At 40.3% G+C, this 14,479-nt stretch overlaps 1 long non-coding RNA gene across 1 annotated transcript in view, besides 1 other annotated feature; it reads right to left on the reverse strand.

The window, feature by feature from the left end:
- Positions 1-14,479, reverse strand: part of LOC102724945 (uncharacterized) — a 244,858-nt gene that overhangs the window by 10,679 nt on the left and 219,700 nt on the right. The window contains exon 8 of the long non-coding RNA XR_001750942.2: positions 4,036-4,230. This is a non-coding gene — a long non-coding RNA (uncharacterized LOC102724945). The remainder of the gene's footprint in view (positions 1-4,035; positions 4,231-14,479) is intronic.
- Positions 3,124-3,443: an enhancer, noted in NCBI's record as "active region_8244". NCBI's record gives its function as "activates an Ori minimal core promoter by ATAC-STARR-seq in GM12878 lymphoblastoid cells {active_cell/tissue: GM12878}" and the evidence as "EXISTENCE:reporter gene assay evidence [ECO:0000049][PMID:35858748]".

Here is a 14,479-nt window from a genome sequence, read left to right on the forward strand (position 1 = left end):
TAGTTTTCCTCAGAAAACTAAAAATAGTACTACCATATCCCCCTCCTATCACTGTGCAATGGAGCCTGTGTTACTCACAGGAGATTATCTATCTCCCAGTTGTGTTAAGGTTAGGAGTGTATCCAAGCTTTGTGGGTACGGAAACTGATACAATTTTAGGGAGCCTCTTTAAGAAAATAAATACAATTTCTATAAAAATTACAAAACATTGATGTGAGAAATTAAAGAGGACACACAGAAATGAAGAAATTTCATGTTCATGGATTGGAAGAATCAATATGATTAAAATGTTCATACTACCCAAAGCAATCTAGACATTACAATCCCTATCTAAATACAAATGGCATTCTTCACAGAAATAGAAAAAAAAAATCCTGAACTTGATATAGAACCACAAAAGATCCAGAATAGCCAAAGCTATCCTAAGCAAAAAGAACAAAACTGTTGAAATCACATTATCTGACTTCAAATTATATTACAGAACTATAGTAACCAAAACAGCATGGTACTGGCATAAAAACAGACACATAGACCAATGGAACAGAATAGAGAACACAGAAACAAATTCACACATCTACCATGAACTCATTTTCAACAAAGGTGCCAAGAACATACATTAGGGAAAAGACAGTCTCTTCAGTCAGCAGTGCTGAAAAACTGGATATCCATATGCTGAAGAATGACGCTAGCCCCCATCTCTCACCATATACAAAATCAAATCAAGATGGATTAAATAATTAAATCTAAGAATTTAAACTATGAAACTATTCAAAACAACATTGAAACTCTCCAAGACATTGGACTGAGTGAAGATTTCTTAAGTAATACCCCAGAAGCACAGGCAAACAAAGCAAAACTGGACAAATGGGATTACACCAAGTTAAAAAACTTCTGCACAGCAAAGGAAACAATCAAAAAAACAAAGAGACAACCCACAGAATGGGAGAAAATATTCGCAAACTATCCATCTGACAAGGGATTAATAACCAGAATATATAAGGCACTCAAATAACTCTATAGGGAAAAATCAAATAATCAGATTTAAAAATGGGAAAAAGATCTGAATAGACATTTCTCAAAAGAAGACATACAAATGGCAAACAGGTATACGAAAAGGTGCTCAACATCACTGATCATCAGAGAAATGCAAATCCAAACTACAATGAGATATTATCTCATCCCAGTTAGAATGGCTTTCATGCAAAAGGTAGACAATGATGAATGCTGGTGAAGATGTGGAGTAAAAGGAAACCTCGTACACTGTTGGTGGGAATGTAAATTAGAATAACCTCTATGGAGAACAGTTTGGAACCGTTTGTTTTTTTTTTTTAGTTTTAGTTAAACAGTTTATTTTTCCTCGGAAAACTAAAAATAGAACTACCATAGGCTCCAGCAATCCCATTGCTAGGTATATACCCAAAAGAAAGGAAATCAGTATATTGAAGGGATATCTACACCCCCAAATTTATTGAAGCACTATTCACAATAGCCAGGTTTGGAAGCAACCTAAGTGTCACCAACGGATGAATGGATAAAGCAAATGTGGTACATATACACAATGGAGTACTATTCAGCCATAAAGAATGAGAGCCCATCATTTGCAACAACATGTATGGAACTGGAACTCCTTATGTTAAGTGAAATAAGCCAGGCCCAGAATGACAAACTTTTTATGTTCTCACTTATTCGTGGGAGCTAAAAAAAAAAAAAATTAAAAAACAATTGAACTCATAGAGAGTAGAGTGGGGTAGGGAGAGTCAGAATGGTTAGTGAGTACAAAAACATAGTTAGATGAATGAACAAGAGCTAGTAATTTCATAGCACAACAGGGTGACTGCAGTCAACAGTAGCTTATTGTAGATTTAAAAATAGCTAAAAGACTACAATTGTTCGTAACACAAAGAAAGTATAAATGCTTGGGGTGATGGATACCCCATTTGCCCTGATGTTATTATTATACATTGTGTGACTATATCAAAATATCTTATGTACCCTGTAAATATATACATCTACATACTTAATGACTTCCAGTTCCATCCATGTTGTTGCAAATGATAGGATCTCATTCTTCTTTATGGCTGAATAGTACTCCATTGCGTACTATTTACCCACAAAAGTTAAAAACTTAAAAAAACTTTAAAAATTAAAATTTAAAGAGAAGATAAATACAAAATAGAGAATATAAATGCCTATAGTCAACATAAAACTCATTCAGAGCACTCCGGGGCCACATACAGATCTGCATCATTCATTTTAGTAATGGCGTGATGTTTCATTGTGTAAATACACTGTAATTTACTTGCCCACCCCCATTGATAGATCTGTATATTGTTTCCAGTCTCTTGCTATTATTCTCTATCCAAGGTTGCCATGAGTACTTTTGTACATATATCAATTCCCATACTTAGGAGCATATCTGAAAGGCAAATTGTAGAAGTGAAATCACTGGGTTAAAGGGTTTGCGCATTTCTAATTTTGGTAAATATTACTAAATCACTCTCTATAGAAATTGTTCCAGGTTATAGTCCCACCAGTATAATATGAGGGAATCTGTTTTCCACACCCTTGCTGATACAACGTTATTATCAATATTGTTTTATCTTTGTCACTTTGACAAGTTAAAAAAAATTATTTCTCTCTCCTTTTTTTTCACCATCAGTGAGTCTGAGCACTTTTTCACATATCTGAGCCGCATACGTAAGGTTCTTCTTGTTGTTATTGTTTTGATGATCCGTTCATATCCTTTGCCAGTTTTTTTTTCTATTGGGTTATTGAATTTTTTCTTACTGATTTGTAGAAATCCTTTATATTTTAGGGAATTTAGTCCTTTGCCTATTATGTGAGTTTCAAGTATTTTCCCCAGTCTTTTGTTGGTCTTTTGAGCTGGCTTATATGGCCTTTGCCATAAATATATTTTTTAAATGTCATTAAATTTAGCATTCCAGGAATGGGCTATTTTAGCTTTGGTGGTCAGTGAAGGCTCCTCTGAAAAGGTAGCATTTGAGTGAAAACCTAAATTTCATGCCACAGGCAGGAGACAAGTGCTGTAGTCAGGAGGCTCTGGGGCAAGAATGTGCTCGGTGTCTTTGGGGAACTGAAAGAAGCCCTGGAGAACACAATATACAATGGCACACCAGGAAGCAGCGAGTCACACCAGGCCCAGGTAGGGAGGTTTGGAAGCCAGGGACAGACATGGGCTAGCTTTTGGGCCCCAGAGAGAAACCAAAATCAATGGGGAAAAAAAAATGATGTGAAGGCAATTTTAGGTTCTATTTAACTATTAGACGAACATTCCAATAATTATCACAGTCCAGTGTGCAGCGGGCTCCAGGGGTATTTGTCAGCTGCTTTCCTGTCCCTGAAACTTCTCAGGCAGAAGTGTAAAACACAGCTGGGTGGAAACACTGTAGAGGAACTCAAGCGTTAGATGGGGGTTTGACTAGTTGACATTTATCTCCAGTCTAAGCTTAACAAGATTCTGAGATTTTCTGCGGTGTGTATGCCCCTGCATTTGTCTTTCCTTATGGTTTCTCTCATTTTCTCTTCTTTTTTTTTTTTTTTTTTGAGACGGAGTCTCGTTCTGTCGCGCAGGCTGGAGTGAGGTGGCGCGATCTCCGCTCACTCTAAGCTCCACCTCCTGGGTTCACGCCATTCTCCTGCCTCAGCCTCCGAGGTAGCTGGGACTACAGGCGCCCGCCACCACGCCCAGCTAAATTTTTGTATTTTTAGTAGAGACGGGGTTTCACCGTGTTAGCCAGGATGGTCTCAATCTCCCGACCTCGTGATCCCCCTGCCTCGGCCTCCCGAAGTGTTGGGATTACAGGCGTGAGCCACCGCGCCCGGCCCTCAATTTCTCGTCTTAAATATACTTTCTTTCTTTCTATTATCCTCCCTCGTGTGATAGTACTGCCAACGGTTTCTTCTTGGCTCCACCGATACCTCTAAAGGCCAAGTTTATACACTGTTTACATGGAAATATCTTTCTATTTTCAGTGACACCTGTTTATGTCTATGGCTTTCACATCTTGCACATACCTGACACAGGAACCTTCTTTGACCAGGAGTTTCTGAGGACAGGAACCACATCATTTCCCTCCTGTGTTGTATCCGGGTACAGAGAGACGGAGCCTCTGGGCGCTCAGTAATCAGGTGATGCTAATATGCATTCACAGGCTGTTTTTGCAAAATTGCTAATGACAGACAGTATGGTTTCCTCTCAACAGTTGAGATCTAGGAAAAGTGAGGGTAAAGAATGCCCTGAGGAATCAGGATAGGAAACTGAGTTGGAAGCCTTCCCTACAGATAAGTTAAAGCCACAGTTATGGATGGAATCACTAAGGCAGGTTGCAATACAGAGGGTACAAGGAGGCATGAAAATAAAGAAAACATCCATGAGATTTCTAGCATAGAAACACCTTAAAAACTGGGAGATGCCCAATAAAAAAACAAGTCCTAAAATGCTTTTTAAAAATCCACCCTGGATTTTGTGGGAGATGGGAGTTGTCCTGCCTCAAACACATTTAGTACAATTAGATATACAAACATAAAGAAGCCTACATTTTATGATTTGCTCACTGTTTATGTTTTACAATTTTTTGCATACACAAGCAAAGGAAAACATTAGCAAATGGGGAGGAGGGGTAAGCAGCCCAAAATAGCAATGAACAGGAGTTGATTTTATGCTTTTTAAAAAAATCTGAAAATCCATTCCACATGACAGCTAATTCATTTTACTCCTTGCTTACCATATATTCTTCTTATCAATGGGTACATTAAAAAACAACTACAAAATTGTTATTATAGAACAAGGTCAAACAAAAAGAAAAAAATACAGAACATAGTGAATATTTCCTGTGTAAATCCTGAATTTAGAGTATGAAAAGCCAGTAGAGATTTGACTTATGCTAGGCCCTTGAAAAAGTTTCTACTTTCTTTCTCTTTTCTTTTCTTTTCTTTTTTTTTTTTTTTTTTTTTTTTTTTTTTTTTTTTTTGAGACAGAGTTTTGCTCGTTGCCCAGGCTGGAGTGCAATGGCACAATCTCGGCTCACTGCAACCTCTGCCTCCTGGGTTCAAGTGATTCTCCTGCCTCAGCCTCCCAAGTAGCTGGGATTACAGGGATGCGCCACCACACCTGGCTAAATTTTTTTTGTATTTTTAGTAGAGACAGGGTAACCACTCCATGTTGGTCAGGCTGGTCTCGAACTCCTGACCTTAGGTGATCCACACGCCTCAGCCTCCCAAAGTGCTGGGATTACAGGTGTGAGCCACTGCACCCAGCCAAAACTTTCTACTTTTCTGCTTTCTGAGGCTTTGAATTTAAAACTTTTTTTATTCACTATTTGCCAACAGGACCCCAGTTCTGACTGTCAGTTGGTGAGTGTGTGAGACTTGGAGCAAATCACTTCCCCTCTCTGGGTCTCGGGATCCTCTCCTACTGAAGGACACAGGATTTTACAGATTCTCCCAGACACTGTCTCCTATGGTTCTATGAAAACTTTACTTTCCACTGCCTTTTCTCATTCGTTTTATGGTCTAGGAAAGAGCTGCTGAATTTTCAAGCAATGCTAGGATTCTGTAGAAGGAGATACATCTGGTCTGCTGGTGCTTTTCTTAAAGTAATATACATATGTTCTGTCCATAAAACATCCTAGCAGTGTCTTTCTGCACCTTCTCCTAGAAGTCTGCACAACTTCTGTCTCTGTGATAAGATCACACAACTCCAGAAGCATAAGTCATTTATGTTGTGAACCAAAAGGCCATGGCTTGATTTTATTTTCAATCTAATCTAGCCTGATCATAAACGAATCATTTGGAGCAACTAGATTTTGAGTTGCTCCAAATGTTTTTTAGTTTACAATTGTTTTTATTTGTTCTTTGACCATGGTAATAATAAACAGTAAACCATTCACAGAACCTACATTTGTGTAACTTATGTGGTGCATGTCCATTTGATGAACCTTGATACTTAGGAAATGTGGAATCCCATAAGAGCAGGTTTCCTCAAGGCAAACCACTCATGAAAAGAGTCAGAAGTTTGTGTCTAATTCCTGTTTTAGAAATGTTATAAACTTGCAAATTTATTTTCCATTTGATTCAATCTGCCATCTCTAAATCTTTAGGGAGAATTACAGAAACGGAGATAAAATCTTGGTAATTTATTCAATTTTATCACTTCTACTGATCCCATAAAAAGACTCCATCTGTCAAATTATCTTTTCTTAAAAAAAAAAAAAACCTTTTCATAATTTTCTTCATATGGGTATGTTGAAATGAGTAGTTTAAGTATCTGTGTCATGAAAACTATTGACGTTCCAATAAAATCTGTTCTTTCTAAATTATCTGTTCTTTAGCCTCTTTTGAGAGGAAAACTTCAGCTTCTATCATTTGTTTGTAATTTGCTTGTGCAGCATAGGATTTATTGCTTTGGGTGAATATATTATGGCATATTTGAATAGTGTAGAATAAAATATTCTTATGTTAACATATTCTGTGATTTGGATCCCAATCCATAATCAGTACATCTTTCTTTTTAAAATTTCTGCCTTGGTTTTCTTGAAAGTCAAATTGTAAGAATAAATGGTAAGAATAAAAAGAAACCTAGTTGAATCATATCTTCGATCATATATTTTATTTGTTTTCTTTTTTTTTGAGACGGAGTCTCACTCTGTCGCCCAGATGACTGGAGTGCAGTGGCACGATCTCAGCTCACTGCAAGCTCCATCTCCTGGGTTCACACCATTTTCTCCAGCCTCAGCCTCCGAAGTAGCTGGGACTACAGGCTCCCGCCACCACGCCCAGCTAATTTTGTTTTTGTATTTTTAGTAGAGACGGGGTTTCACCGTGTTAGCCAGGATGGTCTCGATCTCCTGACCTCGTGATCCACCCGCCTCAGCCTCCCAAAGTGCTGGGATTCCAGGCGTGAGCCACTGCGCCCAGCAATATAATGTGAAGCTATTAAAAATGATGATGCGTGTTCTCACTTATAAGTGGGAGATAATCTTTGGTGCACACAGACATTAAAAAATGGGAACAACAGACACTTAGGGACTCCAAAAGGAGTGGCGCAAGGGCTGAAAAACTTCCCACTGGGTGCTGTGTTCACTATTTTGGTGACAGGATCAAATAGAAGCCCAAACCTCAGCATCACTAAATATACCCTTGCAACAAACCTGCACACGTGGAAAGCAGCACATTTCAATCCTGTTTTCATAAAACAAGTAAAATAAATACTGTATGAATCTGAAATTTCAAATGATGTATGCCGAGTGTAAATACTGGTACTTTTTTTGGGTGAACTATTTGAATTTCTATATTATCTTGGATATTATAGAAGTTCTTTTTATTTTTGGATACTTTTATTATCTGATTTTTAAATAATGCTGAAAAATACCTACTTAACAAAGGGTAGAGTCAAAGAGTTTTGAAGTAGAAGGGAAAGTAGAAGATTCCCTAATCCAAGTCCCCCGCCCCTCCTATCCCCTGCTACATCCAGTACTAGAATCCATTCTGAGGGTTTTTGACAGACTTATTTACTAAGGAACATCCAGACTTAATTAATAGGGAACACGCAGCTTTTCAAGTGTAACAATATAATACTGATGGCAGCAGAATTGTATTTAGGGAAAGAATATGGAATACTTTGTAGTACTGTAGGTATGGTAAGACCCCAAGAGCATGGGTGTAAACCAATGCTAAAGTGCTATGTAAGGGATAAGGAGAATAATGTGTGTTCTTTTGAACATATTTTTGCACCAACCACTATTTAGGTTGGTGCAAAAGCAATTCTGGTTTTTGCTATTGAAAGTAATGACAAAAACCACAATTACTTTTGTACCAGCCTAAAGTGGGAACAAGGCTTGCAGAGGAAGATGAGTGAAGTGGGCATTTAGCAAGATAGAGAGAGGAAGGCTCCACTCCCACTGTCTCTGAGTGAGGCTGGCTGGAAGTCTTTCCACCTAGCGCTCCATGAAACTGTTTTGTTTTGTTTTGTTTCTTTCCTTCGACGTTAACAGCTGCTTGTCTCCTTTGCTTTGTTCCCTCCCACTCTAGTGCTTTTTTTGAAAATCAAAATTGGAGATAAGTTTTACATCTGGATTGATGTGCTACAGAATGGCACAATTGAAATCAGGCACCTGGAATCAGCATTAACCACAAGAAAATAACTTGCCAAACTCTTAGGGACAGCTCTGGACTTTCATCTTGTGAAAACTGAGGGATAGGCCAGGTTTGGTGGCTCATGCCTGTAATCCCAACACTTCAGGAGGCCGGGGAGCACGGATCACTTGAGGTCAGGAGCTTGAGACCATCCTGGCCAACATAGTGAAACCCCATCTCTACTAAAAATACAAAAATTAGCTGGTCATGGTGGTACGTGCCTGTAATCTCAGCTACACTAGAGGCTGAGGCAGGAGAATCACTTAAACCCTGGGAGGTGGCGGTTGCAGTAAGTCGAGATTGTGCCACTGCACTCTAGCCTGGGCAACAGAGCGAGATTCCATCAAGAAGGAAAAAAGAAAGAGAAAGAAAGAAAGAAAGAGAGAGAAAGAAAGAGAGAGAGAAAAGGAAAGAAAGAAGAGAAAGAAAGAAGAAAGAAGGAAAGAAAAAAGGAAAGAGAAAAAGAAAGAAGGAAAGAAAGAAAGGAAAGAAAGAAAGAAAGAAAGGAAAGAAAAAGAAAGAAAGAAAGAAAGAAAGAAAGAAAAGAAAAGAAAAGAAAAGAAAAGAAAAGAAAAGAAAAGAAAAGAAAGAACTGAGGGATAAAAATGAGTCAATCTTAGGTGTCAACAGGCAGAGGCCCCGGGTGACATGTGGGTCACAGAAGGCAGATCCCATCATAGCTTCACAGCTCTGCTTCTTCCTCCCTCCCATCAACTCAAAATTGGCTTCTGTATATCCCCATTTCTTTGGTCCTACAGCACAGAATCAGTTTAATCCCTGTTCCAAATGAAAGATAAAAGAAGGATGAGACTCTTGAAATATTAAACCAAAGTAATTTTCATTCCCCTTAAGTGGTGGTGTCCTATGACCCCTCACTCGTTGAATCAATGAGTTTCACTACCTCAGGGGAAGGCTGAATACCTAACTAGAACAAAGTCATTACTCAGCTTACAGTGTCAAACTAAAATTCTTAAGTTCACAGCAAGATCATTCCAAGCTTTGTTCAGAGAAAAAAGGGTTTTGCTGAAATTCAAAAAATTTTCTTTTCCAATGTTTTAAGAGCAAAGCTCCGGGGTCTGAGCACAGAACTTCACTAGAAGGCTGTGGTCTTCCTGTGGTGTGTGTGTGTACCCCTGGAAGTACACGAAGACTTCCTCAGGACTTCTTGGGCACTGGCAATTTTAAGAAAAAAGTTTTTGACATTGTCAACTTCCATGTGTATTCTTTCCTAAAATTAATTAATTTGCGTTTAGAATTGACTGTGATTGGCTGGTCCTCCTTACCCAACCCGTCTTTTCAAATGGTTTGCTCTCCTAGTTTACAAAAGAAAAATATGCCTCTCACCATCCAGAATCCTAAAATAGCGCATGTTCCCAGGGTACAAAAACCTCCAGGACACCAAATGACAGGACAATTGGAGAATGCACGCTCCTGAGGGAGGTTGTTTCCTAGCAGTGCCAGGTGAGCTCGTAGAAAAATCTCGAGGGCCCTGGGGCCTCATTTCATCCAGGTTGCAGAGCCATATGCAGCCCTATGCCTCATCTGCTTATCTTTGGTTCTATGTATTAGAATTCAGAAGTGATATGGTTGCCATGAGGACGCATATGGAAACATTAACTTAAATTGAAAAATTAAATCAAGACTTGTCCTGACAGAAAGTACAGCTGATTTGGCTGGACAACAAAAACTAACTTTGGCCATTAGGATCTGTGCAGACATTTTCCATATATTGAATGAGCAAAATCTAATGTTCTAACAAAAAAATATATTTATGTAACAGTGAAACAGCAAAAGAACTAACATAACTAACTCCATTTTTGTTTAAAGGGCCTTTACCCATTCACGCACATAGGCTAGGATAATTTTATTTTATTTATTTATTTTAGTTTTGTTTTCCTTTGCTTTGAGACAGGGACTCACTCTGTCACCCACGTTGGAGTGTAGTGGTGCAATCACAGCTCACTGCAGCCTTGACCTCCTGGGCTCAAGGAATGCTCCCACCTCAGCCTCCATTAGCTGAAACTACAGGCACATGCCAACATGCTCAACTAAGTTTCTAAAAACTATGTGTAGAGACGGGGTCTCCCTATGTTGTCCAGGCTTGTCTCAAACTCGGAGGCTCAAGCAGTCCTCCCGCCTCGGCCTCCTAAAGTGCTGGGATTACAGGCCTGAGCCACCATGCCCAGTCTAGGATAATTTTTAGAGCACTGAGATAATACACAGAAACAGCAATCATGTAGTTTTTGAAACTAACTCTGGGATTAAAGGAGAAGTATGTAAACAATAACTATGTTTTGTTAAAGATTTATAGGAGCGTTGTGACCTGATCAAGAACAAAGAAGTCCCCAGTCTCCTGGGACCCTTGCTGGTGCCCAGATGTCTGTGGCCATCAATTACCTCAATTCCAACCACTTCCTCTTCCCCCAGCCCTAAATGTAAAAAGAGCCTGAAATTTGTACTGACTTAACAGGTACCTTAGAATCCTAGTTTACTACCTTCTTGGTTTTGCTAGCTTTCCAAATAAACCTGCTTTTCCTCCCACCAACCCTCATCTCTTGTGTCCGGCTTTTGAGCAGCCAGCAGCTGCACCTGGATTTGGTTACATTTAGAGGACATATACAATATAAAATGCAGCAGAGATTATGTCTTTTGCAACTACTAAACTTATGATAAAAAATTTTTAGATGTCAACCTAAAAAAAGTGCACGTGTTTCAGAATTCCTTAAGAGGGAAGGAAAAGAAAACATGCTAAAAACCAGTATAGACAGGTGCGGTGGCTCATGCCTGTAATCCCAGCACTTTGGGAGGCCAAGGTGGGCGGATCACCTGAGGTCAGGAGACCAGCCTGAACAGCATGGAGAAACCGTGTCTCTACTAAAAATACAAAATTAGCCAGGCGTGGTGGCGCATGCCTATAATCCCAGCTACTCAGGAGGCTGAGGCAGGAGAATCACTGGAACCCGGGAGGTGGAGGTTGCAGTGAGCTGAGATCACGCCATTGTACTCCAGCCTGGGCAACAAGAGCGAAGCTCCGTTTCAAAAAAAAAAAAAAAAAAAAAAACCCCACAAAAACCAGTATAGAGAAGCAGGCTAGGGTGGAGAGGCATTTGGGGTTAGACGTGAAGGTGAAGTAGGAAGGGGAGAAGAAGTGGAGGGCAACAGATCAAATGTGAATGTGGGAGCTCCCGCTCACCCCCACTACCCCACTATAGGGAAAACTTAAGGGTCAAAGAGCCAGTGGGGAGTAGGGAATATTAGGAAGGAACAGATATGCTTGGGAGAATCCAGAGCACAGGCACTTGTCTCTTGCCCTCTAGGAGCTCTGGAAAATTTCAAGCCACTACAATATGGGCTAACCAAAAGGCAGTGGAAATTGTGCCAAAATATTGTCAGGTAGAGAAAGCACTGAGAGACCACCAGGCCTGACTCCCCACGGCTGCCCTGTGGTGGAGGGGAAATTTCCAAGGGCCCAGGTGACCTGAGGTGGGTCACAGTCCACAATCAATAAATAAATCTGGCCGGGCGCAGTGGCTCACGCCTGTAATCCCAGCACTTTGGGAGGCTGAGGCAGGTGGATAGCTTCAGGCCAGGAGTTCGAGACCAGCCTGGCCAACATGGCAATACCTCGTCTCTACTAAAAATACAAAAATTAGCTGGGCATGGTGGCAGACACGTGTAATCCCAGCTACTCGGGAGGCTGAGGAAGGAGAATCGCTTGAACCTGGGAGGTGGAGGTTGCAGTGAGCCGAGATGGCGCCATTGCACTCCAGCCTGGGCAACAAGAGCGAAACTCCATCTCAAAAAAAAAAAGAAAAAAGAAACAAAAGAAACTCAGCCCCGCATGGTGGTGCACGCCTGTAATCCCAGCTACTCAGGAGGCTGAGGCATGAGAATCGCTTGAACCTGGGAGGCGGAGGTTGCATGAGCCAAGATGTCACCACTGCACTCCAGCCAGGGCGACAGAGCAAAAGACTCTGCCAAAAATAAGTAAATAAATAAAAAGAAATTCTTATCTCACAGTTTTTTTAATCATATGCTAATTGCTAATTTTCGGGAACAATCCAGGAAGTATCATAATTTCTCATTATACAGAGGGCTGCTGAGGATTCCACAGGGCAGTGTGTGAATATAGTCTAAAAGACTCTGCCATTGTTAGCATGTTCTAATTCCAGGTTAACCATCATTTAAGACAGCTTCTTGGGGAGGTGGAAGAGTAGTACTAACCAACCATAGGACCCCTACCCTGCATCTGAGAGTCATAAGTAATTTAGACATGCAACAACTCTTTCATCAGTGTAACATATAGGGAAGGTCATTGAGTTTTAGAGCTTGAACGTACTTAAAAAATTGTTTGGCCTTCTGCTCCCATTTGGCAAATATGGAAACTGAAGTCCAGGGCAGTAAAGGGAGTAGGCCTATGTTTGGGAGCTGGTATCAGAAGTGGTGATTCCCACTGGCTCACTTTAAGACTGGGTTCTCTGTAGTGCTTTATGGTACCAGCCTTCTCGCGCTTTAGATTCTCCCCACTCAGTGTGGATGCTCTGCAATGTGCTCAATATATCTTTAGGTTCACTGAGCTGTTGATGCCTACAAGGTATTCAGGAGCACTTGCCTTTTTTTTTTTTTTTTTTTGAGATGGAGACTAGCTCTGTTGCTGGGCTGGAACGCAGTGGTGCGATCTCGGCTCACTGCAACCTCCGCTTCCCAGGTTCAAGTGATTCTCCTGCCTCAGCCTACCAAGTAGCTGGGACTACAGACGCCCGCCACCACGCCCAGCTAATTTTTGTATTTTTAGTAGAGACGGGGTTTCACCATGTTGGCCAGGATAGTCTCAATCTCTTGACCTCGTGATCTGACCACCTCGGCCTCCCAAAGTGCTGGGATTCCAGGTGTGAGCCACCACGCCTGGCCAAGCACTTGCCATTTTAAACTGGTTGACTATATATGAAAGAACAACAGTTGGAGACAATGGGGTTAGGAATTGTGGAAATGCTTTATAGGGGGCTGCCCAATAGGACCCTGTGCAATTTTGGAAATGTTCTATATCTGCTATTGTGGCTACCAGTGAGTAAGGCTATTGAGTACTTGAAATATAGCTAGTGTGATTGAGGAACTGAATTTTAAATTTTGTTTAATTTTCATTAATTTTACCTTAAATTTAAATCACCACATGTGGCTAATAGCTACTGCACTGAATAGCACAGCCATATCATATTCACAAAAATGAAGTTTCTCTTCTTTTTCCTCACAGTTATTAGGAGATTGGTTCAAACTGATCATTTTCTGGCTACATACCAATGTTTTCTTCAGATGTTTTACCTTCCAATTCTTGAGGAGACAGGCTTTTATATTGTGCCAATGCAATCATTCTCTGCAAAACCAAATGTGTTTCTTTGCAAGCAGAAGTTTGAGAATCAGTCTTTTGGGCATTTGTTTTTTCTTCAACTTTTAAGTTCCGGGGTACATGTGTAGGATGTGCAGGTTTGTTACATAGGGAAATGTGTGCTATGGTGGTTTGCCGCACAGATCAACCCATCACCTAGGTATTAAGCTAATAATAATTAGCTATTGATAGCTAATTAATGCATAAGTTATTCTTCCTGATGCTCTCCCTCCTCCCACCTCCTGATAGGTCCCAGTGTGTGTTGTGCCCCCACCTGTGTCCATGTGTTCTCATCTTTCAGCTCCCACTTACAAGTGAGAACATGTGGTGTTTGGTTTTCTGTTCCTGCGTTAGTTTGCTGAGAATAATGGCTCCAGCTCCATCAATGTCCCTGCAAAGGACATGATCTCATTCCTTTTTATGGCTGCATAGTATTTCCTGGTGTATATGTACCACATTCTCTTTATTTAGTCTACCATTGATAAGCATTTGGGTTGATTCCATGTCTGGGCATCATTTATTTAAACTTTAAATTTTTTTTATTGTACATGTGACTTTCAAAATTAAACTCAGTTCAGAAGTCACCTTCTCAGCTTTAATAGCTTTAACTTCTAAATAATATTTTCCTTAAGGTCCCTTCTTTTTCAGATGGTGTTTGATCTTTTTTTTTTAATAATTTCAATATTTATTTTATTTTTATTATTTTTTTTTTTTTTAGTATTTATTGATCATTCTTGGGTGTTTCCCGGAGAGGGGGATTTGGCAGGGTCATAGGACAATAGTGGAGGGAAGGTCAGCAGATAAACAAGTGAACAAGGGTCTCTGGTTTTCCTAGGCAGAGGACCCTGCGGCCTTCTGCAGTGTTTGTGTCCCTGGGTACTTGAGATTAGGGAGTGGTGATGACTCTTAACGAGCATGCTGCCTTCAAGCATCTGTTTAACA

This window comes from Homo sapiens, chromosome 14 (assembly GCF_000001405.40).
Source record: "Homo sapiens chromosome 14, GRCh38.p14 Primary Assembly".
Taxonomy (NCBI): Eukaryota; Metazoa; Chordata; class Mammalia; order Primates; family Hominidae; genus Homo; species Homo sapiens.